Source organism: Homo sapiens, chromosome 2, assembly GCF_000001405.40.
Source record: "Homo sapiens chromosome 2, GRCh38.p14 Primary Assembly".
NCBI classification, from domain to species: Eukaryota; Metazoa; Chordata; class Mammalia; order Primates; family Hominidae; genus Homo; species Homo sapiens.
The window spans coordinates 203,459,192-203,480,330 of NC_000002.12; the positions used below are offsets into that span (position 1 = coordinate 203,459,192).

Consider the following 21,139-nt stretch of genomic DNA (forward strand, 5'->3'; position numbering starts at 1 on the left):
TACAAAAAGATCTGTTGATACCCCCAAATATGTATTCTTCACTAAAACATCCAGAAAAGATGTGTCATGGTTATGCCATTTGAAGCATAACTATGCAATATCTTTAACACTGCTGCTATTTTTCTTCATTACTACTTTTTATTGTGGAGTTGTTTTCCCTCACCTACTGAATTTTGTAAAATGTCTAGGTATTGGGAAGTATTAACTCAAACATTATTTTGGAATAAGGAAAGATGTCAAATAAATCAAAGTATGTTTATTAGAATGTAAAGCCATTTGTAATCAAGGTTACTGGGATGTTTAAAAAGTAATTCCAAAAGAAGTGTCAACTGGATAAATGGCTGGAGTAGAGAAGTACTTTTCTTTGATGAGATGACAAACTCACCAAATAAACAGCTGGGTTCAACACAGCTCTGGATTACAGAGCCAAAAGACCTGGTAACTCACTAGAGCTATACTTCTGCTTCCAAAACGGCTCACCCCATCTGGTTCTGGAGGACTGGGAACCTCTTTAGGGCCTAACACGTGGGCACCAGCTGACTTTCCACCTCAGCAGCAGCAGCAGCAGCAGTAGTAGATGATGCTCCTATAGGATTTTGCAGGTATATCGCTCCAACCAGGTGTTTACCAGTCTTTTAACTCTAACTTAGCAGTAATCGAATAAAATAGGAGACATATTTACAAATCCTGACCTCTGTAAGTTGTTTGGTCTTACCTGTGGGTTTTTGAAAAGTGCATATTTTTCTATACGCTCCATAAATATAAGCTTGTTTTGGCTATCTCTTGTCCAATTAAGAAGATTTTCAACCAAGTTTTCATGGTCTTCAAAGATTCTCTCTGTCCCAAAATAAAATATCCGTATTTTGTTAGTATTCATTAGAGTTGCATGAAAGACATGAAACTTTGTGAAGTAGTTAACCTCAGAACCACATAATCTTAACCGACATTTTAGCACCTAAAAATTATCTGGTATTCCCTAATTTTTCAAACAAAGAAATATGCCTTAATTATGTTAATGACATAACCAAGGTCACACAGCTGATATATGGAAGAACTAGGACTAGAATCTAGGCTTTCTGACTTGCAGGACACCATTCTTCAGTCTTAAACATTTTCCCATCCCACCCTTAAAAATAAAACATTAGTTACATCTTATAAGTTTCGATATCAAGTATTTCCTATTTAGTTCTTGGCATTTAAAACATTTCCAAGATGATTTCTTCTTTGATCCATGACTGTTGTTTAATCTTAAACATATATGTATTTTCTAATTTCCAAATTAGAAATGAAAGAACATGTCCTGTATACTGAACATATGTTAAAGAACACGTTCTAGATATGGATTCTTTGAAATTTGTTAATGTGCTTTGTTTCCCGAGTCAAATGCTGGTTTAAAGACTTCAGTACAAATTCAAGTTAACATAATAATTTTTAGTAAATGCATCAGTCTATCCAGTTCTTATTTGAAAAAAAAAAAACTATTTTGTTACCTTTTAAAAAAACTTTGTTTTAGCCATTATAAAATCTGAAGTGAATTGGAAATGATCTTGTATTCAAAGAACTCTTAAAACACTTCAGAAAAAAATAATGTAAAGAAGCCAAATTATGAAAGGTAATTTTATCGAAAAAATATATAAAGATGAGGCCAGGCGTGGTGGTTCACGCCTGTAATCCCAGCACTTTGGGAGGCCAAGGCAGGTGGATCACAAGGTCAGGAGATCAAGACCATCCTGGCCAACAGGTGAAACCCCATCTCTACTAAAAAATACAAAATATTAGCCAGGCGTGGTGGTGCACGCCTGTAGTCCCAGCTACTCAGGAGGCTGAGGCAGGATAATTGCTTGAACCCAGGAGGCAGAGGCTGCAGTGACCCGAGATCGTGCCATTGCACTTCAGTCTAGGTGACAGAGCGAGACTCCATCCCCCAAAAAATTAAAATAAAATAAAATAAAAACATATATATATATATAAAGATAACTCAAAATGTTTTTATCAGCATGAAAACTGATGAAATTACACAAAAATTAGAAAGCAATTAAAGCAATGATATTACTAACCCATTTGTAATTCAGAAACGGTTTCTACCAGTGACCAGTCTAAACTATAACCGCAGTGGGATTTGTCCATCAGGTTATCCAGTACTTGTCTTACTGTCTGCCTCTCATCCACCATCATTGTTTTAGAACTGTCATCAGACATGTGGACTCTGATCACCAGCTATAACAGGTAAAAAGAAAAGTAAATGAACACTAAAAAATGGCATTCTAGGAAAGGCACTGATCCAATATCAAATAAAATTTGGATTAATGTATTTGTATATAAATTAAAACACAAATAATGACTTCATTATGCAAAAATATAGGCTAAAAATCAGACATCAAATAACCTGTAAGTAAATTTAAAGCATTTTAAAAATATAACAGATAAGGTTATAATGTTATGATTACTCCTTTAGGAGAATTCAGAACCAGAAAATTACTCCTTTTATAATGCATTTTACCCACAAAAAATACTACATGTGAAAAATATATTACTAGGAAGAAATGCCCCTGTATCTCTCCATATCTTAGAAGTACATTACATAAACAAGGCAATTCTTCACAAATCCAAAAAACTGATAAAAAAATCCCAAACCAGGAAGAGGCCCACATATCACCTTTTTCACTTGTGCCTCTTTAATTTTCTCTAGGGCAACTCTGATCTTCTCAGCTTTCAATTTTGCTGCCTGTTCTTCCTGTGAACACAAAGCATTTCAGATAAACAATGCTAAGATGATGAAATATTTGAGAAATCTTTTTTATCCTTAAGGATGCTCCCAGCAATAAATTTCATTAAGAATATAACTACACACAGAGCACATTTAAAAAATAACTGTTCACAAAGAGCAGACATATTATAAAGAAACATTTTATAGATGCAGACTTGAAGATGTCTTACAATAGGCATTTCTACATCCAATATTCTAGAGGAAAAAAAGAACTCTGTGATGTAGTAAATTACCAAGTTTGATTCTGTCAATGTGAAGCAGATGAATTTCAGGTTCTGGGATAGGAGAAAAATGAATGTATAGTGGTGACAATTTGTTTTCCCTGCAGAATCCCTCAACTCTGAATTTCCACTCCCTCCAAAGTAAGGGCAAGTCTTTGAATATTAATGTTCTGTTCTGTTACACTGAAAGTATACCACTATCATAAAAATATCTACAACAAAAAACAATACCTACCTGTTTACAACCATATAAAAACCCTTTAAAAAATAAAAATGTAGGTACAATCTCATTAGTATACCAATACAAATATAAGAAGCTGCCTTATTGCGTAAGTTTCACTCTGCTTTGGAAAATCATACAATGTAATCAATGTCTTATGTCAGTAAATTCAAAATTTGTTTTTATTAGTTTACTGACAATATTTTTAAATGCTAAATATGATTTTCCAAATAACTTAAAATTTCTAGTAACTTCTACCTCAGAAAACTTAGATTAAAAAGAGTAATAAAAATTATAACTAAAAATATACTTAAACCATTTGTCTGCTTTATTCTGAATTAGCATATAGTACTCTAATGCTGGTACTTGTAATTTCCAGCAATAGGCCATAATATGCTGTGGCATTAATCTCCAATTTTAAAAAACTTGTATAAGTAAACTTTTGTTTATAAAGGATTATTTTCTATTTCTAGGCTTTTGATTACTCTGGAAAATATCTAAGAAAAATAAAAACTTTTTGGTTGGGCGTGTTGGCTCATTTCTGTAATCCTGGCACTTTGGAGGCTGGGGAGGGCAGATCATTTGAGGTCAGGAGTTGGAGACCAGCCTGTGCAACTTGGTGAAACCCCGTCTCTAACTAAAAAATACAAAAATTAGCTGCTCTTGGTGGTGTGTGCCTGTAACCCCAGCTACTTGGGAGGCTGAGGCAGGAGAACTGCTTGAGCCTGGGAGGCAGAGGCTGCAGTGAGCTAAGATTGTGCCACTGCACTCCAGCCTGGGCAACAGAGCGAGACTCCATCTCAAAAAAAAAAAAAGAAAAGAAAAATGGAAACTTCCACCTTAAATATTCCTTAAGTCTAAGAAGAAAAAATCCTCATCATATCAGCCAAACTTTATCCTCTCTGCATTGTGATGAAAACCACAATCCATATGTTATTCATTAAAAAGCTAAAGCTTCCAGGGCAAAAAACAAAAAGAGAAACTCAATTCAGTTCATAGATTTATTCTGTCTGCCTAAATTCTGTTGGCTTTCTTATTTATGAACTACTTTTCTATTTTATACTCTAGGCTGTCTCCCATCATTTCAAGCTTAGTATTTACTATTTTGTGGAACAGAGAAGAAAACAGTGGTTAGGGAAGGCAGTGGGCTTGGTTGCCAGAAAGCTGATCCCTTCCATTGAAAGGAGCCAATGAATTACCATAATAACCAGGGTCTGGAAATACTATCTGTAAACTCAATTAGGCAGAAAACAAAGAACTTTATTTTTAAAATGGAGAGGGCTAAGACGAGACTGAATTCTTATACTATTATATATTCCTCTGACTAAAAGATTAAATCATCCTATTTTTTTAAAAAATCCTTTATGCAAATAAACAAATAGCAGAATTATAAAACATGTTTACGTTTTAAGATACAAATTTTTCTCTTTTTAAAACAAGCTATGAAACGAGAAAACTAAATTACTGTCATTAAAACTCTCAGTTTTTAGAATTATGAGTCTTACAGAAACAAATTGTTAGGTAAATTACCAAAACTTATATGCGTTTTTGATGAACAGAGCACTACTTTATAAAGGAATCTGCAATACTAGCATTTTCCAGCAGTTTTTATGAAATCAGTTACTTGACAAATTTAGGGGAAGAGAAAGAAGGAGGCAGAAGTTTCATGAATATTTTCTCAATGGGATAATGATCTTATTATGTTCCTCATGGCTCATTTGCCGCATCCTTATATTGGCATGAATTGCAAAGAAAGTTTACCAAGGTATATTTGCAGGTTTCACTTCATATTCCTGAAAAGTAAATTTAAAGTCTGAAGAGGAAAAACTGATATGTGGAATCAATGTTTTGTATATTTGGAATATAAACATGAACTTTTTTCTTTTTGAGATGATGGAGTCTTGCTCTGTTGCCCAGGCTGGAGTGCAGTGGCATGATCTTGGCTCACTGCAACCTCCACCTCCCGGGTTCAAGCGATTCTCCTGCCTCAGCCTCCCAAGTAGCTGGGATTACAGATGCCCGCCACCATGCCCGGCTAATTTTGTATTTTTAGAAGAGACAGGGTTTCGCCATGTTGGCGAGACTGGTTTCAAACTCCTGACCTCAGGTGATCTACCTGCCTAGACCTCCCAAAGTGCTGGGATTACAGGCATGAGCCACCATGCCCAGCCAAACATGAACTTCTAAAAGGCCAAATTCTTTATGGTATTACATAATCTATAAATTTAACATTTTAAAAGTTTACAAGATGCCCTCAAAGCTGAACATATTTCTGAGAAAAAAGGAATATTCAAGAGAATGAGAAGACAAGGGATAAACTGGGAGAAAAAATATTTGCAAAAGACGTATCTGATAAAGAACTGTTATAAAAAAAAAGAGAGAGAGAGCTCTTAAAATTCTTTAAAACAAAAATGAACATGATTTTAAAAATAGGCAAAAGACCTGAAAAGATACCTCACTAAAGAAGACAGCTAGTAAATAAGCATATAAAAAGATGTTCAACATTATTTGTCATTAGGGAATTACAAGTAAAATGAGATACCACTACACACCTATCAGAATGGCCAAAATCCAAAACACTAACACCACCAAATGCTGCCAAGGATGTGGAACAATAGGAACTCTCATTCATTGCTAGTGGGAATATAAAATGGTACAGTCACTTTGGAAGACAGTTTTGGCAGTTTTTTACAAAACTAAATGTACTCTTACCATACAATTCAATTCAGCAATTGTGCTCCTTGGTATTTACCCAAATGAGTTGAAAACTGATGCCTACAAAGACATGCACATGGATGTTTATAGCAACCTTATTCATGAGTGCCAAAACTTGGAAGCAACAAAGACGTCACCCAGTAAGTAATAAATAAACTATGGTGCATCCTGACAATGGAATATTATTCAGCACTAAAATGAAATGAGCTCTCAAGCCATGAAAAGACATGAAGGAACATTAAGTGTGTAATACTAAGTGAAAGAAGCCAATCTCAGAAAGATATTTAGTGTACAATTCTAACTACATGACACTGGAAAAGCCAAAACCATAAAGACGATAAAAAGATCAGTAGTTGCCAGGGGTTAAGAAGGAGGAATGAATAGGCAGAGCACGGAGGATTTAAGGGCTGTGAAACTATTCTGTATGATAAAACAATGGTGGATACATGTTATCACATATATTTGCCAATATGCATAGAATGTACAACACCGGCAAGGCATGGTGGCCCATGCCTGTAATCCCAGCACTTTGAGAGGCCAAGCGGGCAGATAAGGAGTTGAAGACCAGGCTGGCCAACATGGCAAAACCCTGTCTCTACTAAAAACACCAAAATTAGCTGGGTGCAGTGGTGGGCGCTTGTAATCCCAGCTACTCAGGAGGCTGAGAAAGGGAGAATTGCTTGAAACCAGAAAACGGAGGTTGCAGTAAACAGAGATCACACCACTATACTCCAGCCTGGGTGACACAGCAAGACTTCGTCTCAAAAAAAAAAAGTTGACACAACGGACATAGGGATTAAACAAAGAAGAGACCCGTGTAACCAACTAACATACATTAAACCAATTAGATTTCCTAACTGTCAATAAGAAATTTTTATAAAGCAGCTAGATGGGGGCTATTTTAACAAATCCAAATCCCAGCTGCTCTTCCATTTGCTCAAAATGCTACTCTTTATGCTTACATAAAGTGGTCCATGTTAAAACTGTATGAAATTAAGAGCTGGGTTAACTTCAACCTAGGCATATTTTAGTTTATACTTCTCTAGTTTTATTAAAGGATAACCCTTGCTAGCAGCTTTTTGAAGAAACAGAACTGATCATGATACCTCTTTTAGAGTCTGAGTATCATCCCTGGAACAAAACTGGAAATGAAAATGTTTATGTCAAATTGCAAGACTCCTAATATTTTTATGCTTCCTGTGGGTAATAAGCTCTTTCTCAGAGAGTGCTATTTGTGTCTAATGTATTTAAGCAATCACCATATCTTTTAACTATTAACAACCTGGGAAAAATAGAAATTGTCTTAAGCTCATGGGGTGTTGTATAATACAGGAAAAATAAATGTTTGCTGATACGTTTAGATGACATACTTAGAACACCTCCAATAGTTTATTTATAAAGGCAATGCAAATCTACATTCAATGTTTACAGCCCAAGTTTAATACAAAAGACAAAGCTTTATTCATCTTATGTTCCGCTTCCAAAGTCAGGTGTTAAGTTTTCTGCCCCATATCCTTGGACTGTCCCTTTCTTCACAACTATATTAAACTTAAGTAAAAAATACCTCACATATGTAAAAACTTAAATTTCTCTCCCATACCTTCTCTTAAAAGAGCAAGAGACAATCTATTTTCTACTGAAAAACTCCTATGTGGCTATCAATAACCACCAATGCCAAGCCTCCTCAAATTTACGTAAAGACAAAAACTAGGTGAAGATCCTATGATTAAATGAAAGCCAACACTGTGGCTACAAAGTGTTAGAACTTTCTCTATGGTGTAAAAATTAGAATACTTACAGAAAGTGCTACTGTTGCTAAGTTGTTCCTTCAACTGGGAAGCTTAAGCTTTGTGGGTTCAGAACAAACCCAGTTGAAATTAAGGGGCTAAACAGTGGTTAAGAATTCCTTCAGGATCTAGTTTAATTCATATATTGCAATACAATGTAAATTAAAATGATTTAAATAGAACTTGGAAAGATATAAACAGCTTAAGGGTCATTAAATAGCACTGCTTAGAATCAAAATAATTAACAACTATAGCTGATCCTTGAACCTGAGTCTGAGCTACTAGTGTCCTTATGTGTAAATGTTTTTCTATAAATACATTTGACCCTCCATACTGGAGGGCTCTGCATTCCCAACCAAACTCAGATAAAAAATATAGTATTCTCAGGATGCAAAATTCCCTATACAGGCTGGGCATGGTGGCTCACGCCTATAATCCCAGCACTTTGGGAGGCTGAGGCGGGCAGATCACCTGAGGTCAGGAGTTCAGGACCAGCCTAGCCATGATAGCGAAACCCCGTCTCTACTAAAAAAAAAAAAATACAAAAATTAGCTGGGCGTGGTGGCACATGCCTGTAATCCCAGCTACTCAGGAGGCTGAGGCAGGAGAATTCCTTGAACCTGGGAGGTGGAGGTTGCAGTGAGCCAAGATGGCACCACTGCACTCCAGCCTGGGTGACACAGCAAGACTCTGTCTCAAAATAATAATAAAAATTTTAAAAATTCGCTATATACAGGAGGACTTTTCATGTCCAAGGTCTCAGGACCAACTTCAGGACTTGTGTACGTGCAGGTTTTGGTATTGATTTGGGTCCTGGAAGCAATTCCCTATGTATACCAAGGAATGACTGTGGTTTATTTTTAAACTTTTTGTTTTTTGGCAGGGGGATAGGGTCTCACTCTGTCACCCAGGCTAGAGTGCAGTGGTGTGATCATGGCTCACTGCAGCCTCGACCTCCCAGGCTCAGGTGATTCTCCCACCTCAGCCTCCTGAGTAGCTGGGACTACAGGCATGCACCACCACGCCAGGCTAATTTTTGTATTTTTTTTGTAGAGATGGGGTTTCACTATGTTAGGCAGGCTGGTCTTGAACTCCTGGGCTTGAACTCCACCACCTGCCTTAGCCTCCCAAAGTACTGGGATTACAGGCATGAGCCACTGACCATGTTTATCCAAAACTTGCAAAGAATAACACTGCCTATGGTAGGAACTTTGTTTTGTTCACTGCTGTATCTCCAGGGTCATAAACATTGTCTGGCACATAGTAGATACTCAGTAAATATTTGTTGAATGGATAAATGAAGTTATTTATTCTTTTCAATGGTTTCCAGCTACAGTTAGAGAAAAATAAAGCCTCGGTGTGGCTTGAGTGATCTGGCTTCTCCTGCCTACCTCCCCAAACCCCAATCAAGACACTTGTACTTTCACTCAACTAGGGTGACTGGCAAAACGGTCTTTTTTCAACCTCTCAAACATGCCAAGCTCTTTTCCTTGACTTATGTACATGGAACACTCCCTTAAGCCCCAGGCTGGTTTCTTTGCATCCTTCAGGCTTTAGCTTAAATATTACCCTCCTAGAACCCGCTGATCTCATCATCTAAATAAAATGTACCCCAATCTTTTTCCCAGTATGTTCTACTCCTTTCTTTCCTTCATAGCACTTAACATGATTTAGAACTTCTTTACATGCTTGCTTGTCACTGTTTATTATCTATCTTCATAAACAGACTGTGAGCTCGAGGGTGAGGAACAGGTATATTTTATGCAATGTTCTATCCCAGCACCTGGCAGTTCATGGCTCAATAAATATTGTTGAATTGGCAATGAAAATGGTAAAATGGCAAACTTCATCTGAGAGCTGTGTATAAAATGGATTGGAAGGGGGACGGGCAATAATAAAGAGCTAAGAGTGAGCCTGTAGTAGAATGGTGGTAATGGGAATGCAACAAATGGGTGAGCTCAGTAAATCCTACAGATTAACACAAGCTTCATTAGAAATTGGAGACATTAAATGAGAAGAAAGGTAGCAAAGATGATCAGAGGGCTTAAACCTGGTAATTAGAAGAATGTCAGCATCCTAAACAGAAACAGAAAAGATGACAACAGATATAAATTATGGAGCCCAGGGATAATGTAGGTAAGTAGGCTAAACACCTGTGGGATTTAAGGTGCTTGTAAGATGTTGGTGATCTTCTAGGAAATGCCTAACAGCTGTTTGGAAATGTGCTCTTGGGAGACAGATCCATCTAGAATAGAGATCCTAGCTGAAGATACAAGTGTGGACTCTAGGGAAAGAGTAAATAGAGAACGAAGAGGGAAGAGCTGAGGAAAAAGGAAAAAGAGCTAGACTTAGACTTCTACACTGACCAGCTTAGACTTCTACACTTCCCTGATCTTTAAATTTCTACCACCAGTCATAGATCTGCTTTAAAAAGAGAAACTCAGGGTAGAGAAAGGGTCCCACTGCTGACTTTGTTAAAGGGTCTTTTCTTTGAGCTGCTTCTTGGGCAGATTTTCATTTTGGTCTACCATCTTCTTTCATAAATGTACAAGGTTAGAAAGAAATTAAAGCAAACAAACCTCAGATACAATAACAACAACTTAGGGACATTACCCATAACTGTATATTTTTCAGAAATATGTCTGATATTCTTGAATTTAACATTATTTAAATAAGCTAATGAAATAAAAACATGACTTAAAAAGAGGTAGAAAGCAACTCAGCTTCCCTACTGTATTATTCCCTAGTTAATGATGACAATGGCTAAAATATTTCAAATGGATATAAAATACCAGCCCAGTGAAAATCTGGCTGGACTGATTCAAAACATTCCAAGGGCAGAGAACCGGGCAATTAAAATTGCAGCTTCCTCTTTCAATTTGACTAAGTTAATATTAACTAAGATTCTGTTTATATGAGTAAATGTTTTAATTAAATGAGGAGGTGATAATATAAACAAGAACTAGGAAGCAAAGTTTGCTAAAGAAACCCAGAGTATGGACAACCATTAGCAGTAAAAGTTACAATTAAAGCAATGTTTTTTAGACTTTAAAATGCAACAGTGTTAAACTAGAAAAAGTGCAACATACTTGGGAAGACTATTAGGCATTTACAAAAGTTTAAAAACTAATGAAAATTACTGAAAATATTTTGTACTCTCAATATTGCCTGACAGTCATTAAGATCAGTAAATAATTACCATCTGTAAAAGAAAAAGTATATTAATGACAAAGATGCTAGAGTAAGAAAATAATAATATAAGAGCATGATCAAAAACAGAAATCATATTCTACCTACAAGGCAGTAAATAGTTACATGCATGTGGAAGAAGTATCACCTTGGTCAGCAAATGAGAAGGTTTTCCTGCAATGTTTCTCAGAAGAAGGGAGGTTTCCCTGTCCAGATAGGAGTGCTTGTTCAGAAAAGAGAAAAACAAACAAAAAAAGGCAATAACAGAAGTCAGTGGAGGTTTTATGTGTTTAAAACATAAAGTAGACAAAGCAAGAATGATTCTCTATAATTAATCTCATATCTTTTCCCTAAGTTGAGTGAAATATCTCCACAAAGAAAATGTAAAAAAAGAAAAAGAAAAGGAGCAGGGAGGTAAAGACATCATCCGTGCCAGTAGGCGTGTCCCAGCTGACTCCTGCTGATCCCTCCCTCTTTGGGAAAATGGGTAGTACATGCAGACTGCAGAGCCAGTCTGCCTTCTAGGCCAATGCTCATGAATGCTGTGCACAGCACACAAATAAATGAATGTCAGAGACCAATGACTAAACTCCCTTTCTCTTGTTAAAGCCTATGAAGACCTATATAGCTTTAAATAGTATATTTCGGTTAGAATAAGACGACATCATTTTTAAAAGCTTATCCAAGTATTTCTGATCAATTCAATGATAGCTGCACCAAGACGAAAAATATCCATCAATATTTTGCCTAATGGACACACCTGTTTTCAGTAAAACTTTATTAACCCACTCATTATTATCAGAATAAAAATAGGAGTATACTGCACAGTAAAGAATTTGCAGAGCAAATGAATGACATGAACAAAATATTCAGAAGTGTCACACACTTAAATTAATTCAAGTAACTGTTTTCGTGAAAATAATTTGTAAATGGCATGGTCCCTATCATTCTCCCCTTAACTTTTCAGTAACATGTTGTAAGATAAGTTAATACAATTGTATTTCATTTATCCTTAAATTGTAGTTGTTTTGATATATACATGTAATTTGGACTGGCCTCTCATGAAAAAATTCCAAATTAGTATTTAACAGTACATAGTTACTTATCACCATTTAAAAAAATGTACAATACAGCTGAGTAAAAGTATAGAAAATATTGTTATATTTTATAAATCTAAATACAGGTTAAGTTATTCTTGGAAATTCTTTGGAAAGAAACTAATGCAAACAAATACTAGAGCAGCACCCCCTATAAGAAAGTACATGGCCCCTAGCACTTTGGGAGGCCAAGGCAGGCAGATCTCTTGAGGTCAGGAGTTTAAGACCAGCTTGGTCAACATGGTGAAACCCCGTTTCTACTAAAAATACAAAAATTAGCTGGGTGTGCTGGCAGGAGCCTGTAATCCCAGCCACTCAGCAGGCTGCTGCAGAAGAATCGCTTGAACTTGGGAGGCAGAGGTTTCAGTGAGCCGAAATTGTGCCATTGCACTCTAGCCTGGGCGACAAGTGAAACTCTTGTCTCAAGAAAAAAAAAAAGTACATACACGGTCATAGATAAAATACACTACTTCAAGATTAAAAACATGTTACAGAAGACAATATAATCTTTGCTCACATCTATACTATGTTAAGTTTGCTATATGGTATTTTATTGTCTGCATTTTTAAAGCTGTGTTTTAATGCAAGGTAAACTTTATAAGCATAAATGCCCCTCTCACCCATTCTTTAAAAAAAAAAAAAGAAACCTAAGGTCCAATTTTTTTAATTGGACATATTCATCAAGATTAGCACTAACAAAGTCAAACAATAACAAGAACATAGAGAACTATCCCTAGGTCCTCATTTAACTAGATTGTGTAGTCCTCCTAAAGGTAAGACTGATTGGCTCCTCCATAAAGACACTAGGTAAGTAGTAATTTCTGAAAATTCAATTTAGTTTGAGGTTAATGCACAGCCAAGGAGGAGGGAGGGAATTGGGAAAAACAAAGAACAAAAAGCACAATTTGTAAGAGTAGCCATTCTTTGGTTTCTTTAGTTCTTTTTTTTTTTTTTTATTTTTTTGAGACAGAGTCTCCCTCTCTCACCCAGACTGGAGGGCAGTGGCGTGATCTCAGCTCACTGCAACCTCTGCCTCCCAGCTTCAGGCGCTTCTCCTGCCTCAGCCTCCTGAGTAGCTGGGATCACAGGCATGGGCCACCACACTCGGCTAATTTTGTATTTTTATTAGAGACAGAGTTTCGCCATGTTAGCCAGGCTGGTCTTGAACTCCTGACCTAAGGTGATCCGCCCGCCTTGGCCTCCCAAAGTGCTGAGATTATAGGCGTGAGCCACTGTGCCCAGCCACGTTTCTTTACTTCTCTAATAAACTTGCTTTCACTTAAAAATAAAAGAGCAACTATAACTTTCATTGCTCTTATTCCCATTCATTTTTAGCTATTCAAATATAATGGGTAAACATGTACTGCTACACAATTACTATGTAAAACATGTAACATGTATTTCAAGAAATTACTTTCTTGAAAACTTACTGTATTTATCTTATAAAAGTTACTTTTTTAGAAAAATTATCTCCAAGTGAGTAGATTATCTATATTCAGATCATTATATTTCAAATTTAAAAAAATAAAATCTGCCTCAGGCCATCAAAACAAACTATGATTTGGTAAATGTAATTCCAAACATCAAATTCAAATTTAATTCTTAAAAACACAAGATTTAATCAGTTCTCAAACTCATGACCTCAAGACTTCAAGTCATCAAAAAACTGATAATTTGGTTAAGTATGAGGCAATGATATTTAATTGTATCTGATTAATGACACAGAAATAGAAGTCCATTTTGAAATATTAAGATATTCAAATAGCTTAAAATAAAAAGAGGGTAATCATTATGGTTGGTGGTCCCAAAATATGCCACATTCAAAAAATGAGACCACAAACAATAGTTAAACATGATCATAAATTATATCCTGCATGGATGGTTACGTAGCTATTCACTATTTAGTTACTAGCAGAAACAACAAACATGTGGAAACCCGAGGCAGCAAACTCCACTGGGCATGGTGGCTTGAACTGTAATCCCAGCTACTCAGGAGGCTCAGATAGGAGGACCACTTGAGCCCAGGAGCTTAAGGCTGCAGTGAGCTAAGATTATGCCACTGCATTCCAGCCTGGGCAACAGAGCGAGACCCTGTCTCAAAAAATAAAGTATCTTCTTCCAATTGGTACCAGTCATAACACTGATCCTAGAATTCCTTGCTCTTCAGAAAAAAGGGGCAGGGGTGGGGTGAAACTGGTTACTGGAAGGATGCAAGAGGGATGAGAAGAGTGGTGCACAGCTGAAGGACTAAGGAGAGTAAATTATGTAGTTTTAAAACTACATAATTTCTACCAGGGCCGTATTATCAGTGAAACATTTTAAACTGCAGAAATTGTGGTTTTGGTTCAGAAACAAGTTGTATATTTTTCACCCTTGATTACAGGGGAAAAAAATCAGTGCTGTGTCTTTGTGGGTTGCTCTGCTATGGAGATCTTACTGTAACTGAGTAAGGCCATTCTGTTTAGAAATATATTTTAAACGTTTAATTAAAAAAAAATTATGGTTTGGGCATGGCATCCAATCAGGCTTCAGTCTTGGTTTATGTTGTGAGTTAATAAAAATGCATACAGCTTCATATAAACAGGGCCTTCTTATATTTTCTTTTATTTACCAACTATAGACACAAAGTCAAGGGCTTATTTTCAATCCATTTTATTGATTTATTTTATTTCTCTGTTTTCCTCTTCATGTATTCAACCATTTTTTAGGCTCCAACTTTTGAGTGTGGAACCATGCCAGCATTAGAGATGCAAAGGTGACCAAGATGGGCATTCCTTGCCTCACAGAATGTAGTCTAAATAGGGAGATGCAGACCAACTTGCAACTACAAAACAGTGTGTTAAGTGGTAGGTGAGCAAGGAGACGGGTATCTAACCCCAAATTAGCGGCTTAATAAAGTAATTCTGAAAAAGCTACAGTCCTGGAGGATGATTAAGAGGCTGCTGGGGTCGCAGTGTGAGGGAGTGTGGCAGGGTAGAAAGAGGGCAAAGGGATATTTGAGACCAGTGGTTCTCAAAAGAGGGTAGCTCTGTCCTCAAGCAGGAATTTCAGAAAATGTTAAGGACATTCTGGGCTGCCACAATGAAGAGGAGAGGGAGAGTTACTGGTATTTATTGGGAAGTTGAAAATGCAAGATGCCTTGCAAGCATGGTACAATGTCAGTAACAACAAAAGTCCCACATTCCACAATTGTTAAATGTCCTTACACGGAGAGTCGCAGAGATGGGAAATCTTGCTTATAACAATCTGAGCTTAGAATCTAATTTCATTTTACATCTAAAAAGTATTTTTGCATAATTTTAATACTGAATGAATTTTCCAGGATGCTATTACCCTCTAAAATAAATGGAAAGAAGTCTGCACTTTCTTTTGTTCTGAGCTTACAAACAGCTGTTCATAATGTTGGAAAATAATTTCACCAATGGAAAACTAGCTTGAAGTAAGAGTTGCCAGTACCACAACTGGCAGTGTACACTCTGTCACATGCCAGTAAATGATAGGAGATATTTGGAATTCCTTTGAACAGAATTAAAAGCAAAATAATATTAAATTAGTGAAAACATGAAATTAACGTTATTAGTAAAAATTGTTTTAAAATATTTCATACTACTGTTGTCATATTTAAAATACATAGCACAGAAGGCCGGGAGTGATGGCTCATGCCTGTAATCCCACCACTTTGGGAGGCTGAGGCAGGTGGATCACCTGAGGCAAGGAGTTCAAGACCAGCCTGGCCAACATGGCAAAACGCCATCTCTACTAAAAATACAAAAATTAGCCAGGTGTGGTGAAGCACACTTGTAGTCGCAGCTACTTGGGACGCTGAGGCGGGAGAATCGTTTGAACCCAGGAGGCAGAGATTGCAGTGAGCCGAGATGGCACCACTGTACTACAGCTTGAGCAACAGAGCAAGACTGCATCTTAAAGAAATAAAATATGGCCGGGCGCAGTGACTCATGCCTGTAATCCCAGCACCTTGGGAGGCCGAGGCGGGAGGATCACAAGGTCAGGAGATCAATACCATCCTGGCTAACATGGTGAAACCCCGTCTCTATTAAAAATACAAAAAATTAGCTGGGCGAGGTGGCGGGTGCCTGTAGTCTCACCTACTTGGGAGGCTGAGGCAGGAGAATGGCATGAACCTGGGAGGTGGAGCTTGCAGTGAGCCAAGATCGCGCCACTGCACTCCAGCCTGGGTGACAGAGCGAGACTCCGTCTCAAAAAAAAAGAAATAAAATATATAGCATGATGAAAAATCTACACTGTAAAAAAAATCAGATATCAAATGATTTTATTACTACCATCTCATCCCACATTATAACACTGAAATTATTTTGTCATTACAATTATAAATAATCTTATCTCATTTGCAAGAATTTTACATGCTCCCATTTTCTCTACTTGCCTATAAACTGTCTCAGCACATTATCCCTACTTCAATTAAGATTATTTCCCTTTTTCTCATAGTATATACAAGTATGTCATTATCTGCTATCACTTATAACATGTTTCAGTTCTGGGGTCCACTCATATTTCTGTTCTTTTTCCTACACTTCTTGTATAAAAAAAAAAAAAAAAAGGCTTCTGATCTCACTTCTCTTAAACCCAAAGTTCTTGATTATAGGTAGGTGTAAGGTTTGACTACTTCATTATGTCTTTTAATAGTGGCAGCTAAGCATTTACATACTAAAACAGATATATTATTTATTATAAATTTCTTTTTCATTATTTCTCCTTCATAGGTGTTGGGGCATTACATTCATATAAAAAAGTAGGTATGTAAGTAGGTTATATTATTTACAAATTTCACTTGGACAGTAAAGATGGTGTTAGAAATCATCACAAAGGTAATTTAAAATTTTGTTAGCCACATTAATTTTAAAAAGTATAAAAAGAAAAAACTGAAATATTCATATATTTTAGTTAACCAAAAATATCCAAAATTTTAACAAGTAATAAATACAAATAAATTTTGTTGTTTTTGTTTTTTTAAGTCTTGCTCCGTCACTCAGGCTGGAGTACAGTGGTGTGATCTTGGCTCACTGTTATCTTGGCTCACTGCAGCCTCCGCCTCTTGGGTTCAAGCAATTCTTCTGCCTCAGCCTCCTGAGTAGCTGGGATTACAGGCATGTGCCACCAAGCCTGGCTAATTTTTGTATTTTTAGTAGAAATGGGGTTTCGTCATGTTGGCCAGGCTGGTCTTGAACTCCTGGCCTCAAGTAATCTGCCCACCTCGGCCTCCCAAAGTGCTGGGATTACAGGTATGAGCCAACACACCCGGCCACGAGATTTTTTTTACATTTTTGTTTCATAGTAAGTCTTTGAAGTCCAGTATGTATTTTATCCTTACAGCACACAATTCAGATTAACCACATTTTAAATATTTAATAGGCACACGTGGCTAGTGGCTACCGTATGGGACAGTACACCTCTGAAGCATCCAGATTTGCCAACCATGGCAAATGGCATGGCAAAAAAAATGACCAAAGAATAAATTTTTTTAAGAAAGAAACTAGGCTTTCAGTTAAGCATCAGTGCAGAAGAATCATTCCATTTGGTAGCTCTGCTGTAAAGAACAATTCAATTTGTTAGTATCTTAAGAAATTTACAAAAGCCCTTAGTTTCAGAATAAAGAAGGCATGTTGTTTCAGGTTCTAATACAAAAATCATCTATATCAATTATGCTACCACCTACATAATCATACCAGGAGTATTAATATTCAGTTGTACCATATCTAAAGTTGCTTATTTGTTTTTGCTAATTTATTAAGTTTGGTTTAATTTTTATTTGAAAAACTGAAGTTATATGAAAAGGTTTCATCATTTGGAGGTCTAATGAATGCATTCCTCTTCATTAAGTCATGCCATGGCATGTTTATAGAACTTACAGGTGTCAGCTCAGCCTGTTCTTCTGTGAAGTCAATATGACGCTTGGCCTGCTTGCTGGAACATCTCAGAGAAATAGCATGCTGTGAAAATGCAGTAAGGAAGAAAATGATAGGTAAAGGAGGTGAAACGGGCAGTTCTCATTACCATGCAGGAAGAGAAAAAGATCAATGAAGTGAAACAAAACAGTAATGAAACAAAATAGTAATGAAAAGTTGCATGCAATTACCTTTCATTCTCTTATACGCAAAAATTATAAAGGTAAGACCCAGATGATCCTAACCCTTGATAATTTAAGGATAACCTCACTCCACTTCTGGATAGTAGAGTTCTATGAAATAATTGTGCAGAAACATTATGTCTAATACCAATTCATGCTAACAAACCTCAACTGGTCCTTAACCACTGTTTGGCAGTGCTCTTATTAATTTTTCCCCTTATGTTATACCTGTTCTAAGTCTCTATGTTCTTCAAGCTTCTAGCTTCCCTCTTCCCTCTCTTCATATGACTGCACTTCCCTCCATGTGAGAAAGCTACATCCATTTATCATGAGGATCTTCATCATTAGAATGTACCTTGTAATTATACCCATATTTTTATCCTCCCCTCGAATTCTAGATGAATAATGTGTTTTGTTTCCCCTCCCAAAGCTAAGCATGTTCTAGATCCCATTCATTTCCCCCTCCTAAAGAGAAAGTATCTTTAGTCTCTGATACTCAACTAATCAGTACATTGGGGGTGAGGAGAAGAGGAAAATGTTCAGTTCTTCTGGGTACCCTCCTCTTGTTAAACTGTTTCTCCTCTCCACTGCCAAATTCCCTTAATTCATGCTAGAAGGTGCCTCCTCCACTTCCCAGCCACTCATTTTTCCCTTAATTTCTTGCAATTTCTTCCCTAAAGCCTTCATCCTTTGAGTTATAATGTATTCTGTAATTCATTCTCAAAGTCATCAATAACTTTTTGTTTTTTTTTTTTTTGAGACGGAGTCTTGCTCAGTCGCCCAGGCTGGAGTGCAAGTGGCACGATCTCAGCTCATTGCAAGCTCCACCTCCTGGGTTCACGCCATTCTCCTGCCTCATCCTCCCGAGTAGCTGGGACTACAGGCGCCTGCCACCAAGCCCGGCTAATTTTTCTGTATTTTTAGTAGAGACGGGGTTTCACAGTGTTAGCTAGGATGGTCTCAATCTCCTGACCTCGTGATCCGCCCTCCTTGGCCTCCCAAAGTGCTGGGATTACAGGCACGAGCCACTGAGCCCGGCTTGTCATCAAGAACTTTTTAACCAAAAAGGTTTTCTCTCTTTTCCATCATAGTTCCTACCACACTGTACCAAAATCACTTGTTTGGTTGTCTATATCCTCCCCTCCATCCCTCCATACAATAAATTATCACTTCATAAGGACATCATTTTTTGTTTTTTTTTGTTTTTCTTTTTTGAGATGGAGTCTCACTCTGTCGCTCGGGCTGGACTGCAGTGGCACGATCTCAGCTCACTGCAACCTCTGCCTTCCAGGTTCAAGCAATTTTCCTGCCTCAGCCTCCTGAGTAGCTGGGATTACAGGCACCCGCCACCGCACCTGGCTAGTTTTGTACTTTTAGTGGGGATGGGATGTCACCATGATGGTGAGGCTGGCCTTGAACTCCTGACCTCAAGTGATCTGCCCACCTCCACCTCCAAAAGTTCTGGGATTACAGGCGTGAGCCACTGCGCCCAGCCAACATTGTGTATTATATTCCAGTTTTATCCCTTACACCCCACCACAGTGCCCTAGGCGCTCAAATATTTACAGAATATATGAATAACTTTCTGCTTGGCCTGCATGCCACATGCTTGGCCAGACCAAGATTGTTTTTGTTTTTCCCTGTGTATTTTCTCATTAAGCATATTCTGTTTCAATTACTACATCAACAGGAGGCCTATCAAATCTATACTGCCAATAACCCTGTTCTTAGGAAACAGATACTGAAGTATTAACGAATATACGGGAATGATAAACGTAACCAACTCTCAAATGATTCAGGAAAAATAAATATAGACACAGAAAAATAATGTGGTAAAATGTTAAAAATTACTGAATCTGGCAAATGAATTTCATGAGTTCTTTGTACTATTCTTTAAAGGTTTTGTAAGTATATTATTTCAAAATAATTTTTCTTTAAAAAATCTATTCTTTCTGGACTCAATCTTGCACAAGTGTCCATTATATTTCCAAATGCTTACTGGCTAAACTTTCTAAAAGCCTAAATCTGGGCTGGGCACGGTGGCTCACGCCTGTAATCCCAGCCCTTTGGGAGGCTGAGGCGGGCGCATCACTTGAGGTCAGGAGTTCAAGAACAGCCTGGCCAACATAGTGAAACTCCATTTCTACTGAAAATACAAAAAATAGCCAGGGGTGGTGACTCGTGCCTGTAGTCCCACCCAGCTACTCCGGAAGCTGAGGCAGAAGAATTGCTTGAACCCTGAGGCCAGAGGTTTCAGTGAGCCGAGATGGCGCCACTGTATTCCAGCCTGAGCAACAGAGCAAGACTGACTCAAAAAAAAAAAAAAAAAATTAAATCTGAAGTATTCAACAAGAGATGATTGCCTATGTTACATATAAAACAGTATGACGGAATACTATAGCTATTATTCAGTGTACCCTTACCAGAAAAGGATATATGTGAAGTGACAAAAACAATACAAAATAGTAAATAAACAAAGATTAAAAATTTAGGTTACATTAACATGAATAAAAAGGGATTATAGAATAATATAGCTTTTTAATATGAGGTCTATTTCCATAAAGTACTTATTTTCTTACCAAAAAATATTATCTGCTCCAAGTCTAATATTTACGTACTCTTTATCACTACGTTCATAAATCTAAAAGCTGTGCTCAAAATACGTAACAAAAATGTCCAGTGAGTCTCCCATGGGGAAAAAAAATGAATTTAAAGGTCAATTCTCTGTATAAATTTTGCTGTACATTTTCTCAGTTTTGAAAACTTTCATTTGTATTACAAAGTGTTGCGCCATTTGTGTTTGATAAAAACTTTCTATCAATCTTATAAAAACTCACCACAAATCTCTGCAAAGTAAGTTATGAATCACTACTTTCTTGAACTGAATCTGTAACATGTTAAAACAAAGTGCCATTTACAAGCCAGAGTCCTTGGGGTTGGGGTGGGAGTGCACATATTAAAAAGCATTGATCTGGCTAGGAGCAGTGGCTCATGCCTGTAATCCCAGCACTTTGGGAGGCCCAGGCGGGTGAATCAC

The 21,139-nt window shown here is 37.1% G+C and overlaps 1 protein-coding gene across 19 annotated transcripts in view; it reads right to left on the bottom strand.

Moving 5' to 3' along the window:
* RAPH1 (Ras association (RalGDS/AF-6) and pleckstrin homology domains 1) overlaps window positions 1-21,139 on the bottom strand; it is a 101,620-nt gene that overhangs the window by 25,510 nt on the left and 54,971 nt on the right. For 10 of the 19 annotated variants that reach the window (NM_001439019.1, XM_011511646.4, XM_047445538.1 and 7 more), the window contains 5 exons: window positions 17,885-17,965; window positions 11,048-11,122; window positions 2,657-2,734; window positions 2,058-2,217; window positions 716-837 (listed from right to left, as the gene is read on the bottom strand). In NM_001439019.1, coding sequence (NP_001425948.1) covers window positions 716-837; window positions 2,058-2,217; window positions 2,657-2,734; window positions 11,048-11,122; window positions 17,885-17,965 — 516 coding nt within the window. The remainder of the gene's footprint in view (window positions 1-715; window positions 838-2,057; window positions 2,218-2,656; window positions 2,735-11,047; window positions 11,123-17,884; window positions 17,966-21,139) is intronic. The other 9 variants (NM_001439024.1, NM_001439030.1, XM_047445543.1 and 6 more) reach the window with 3 other exon arrangements.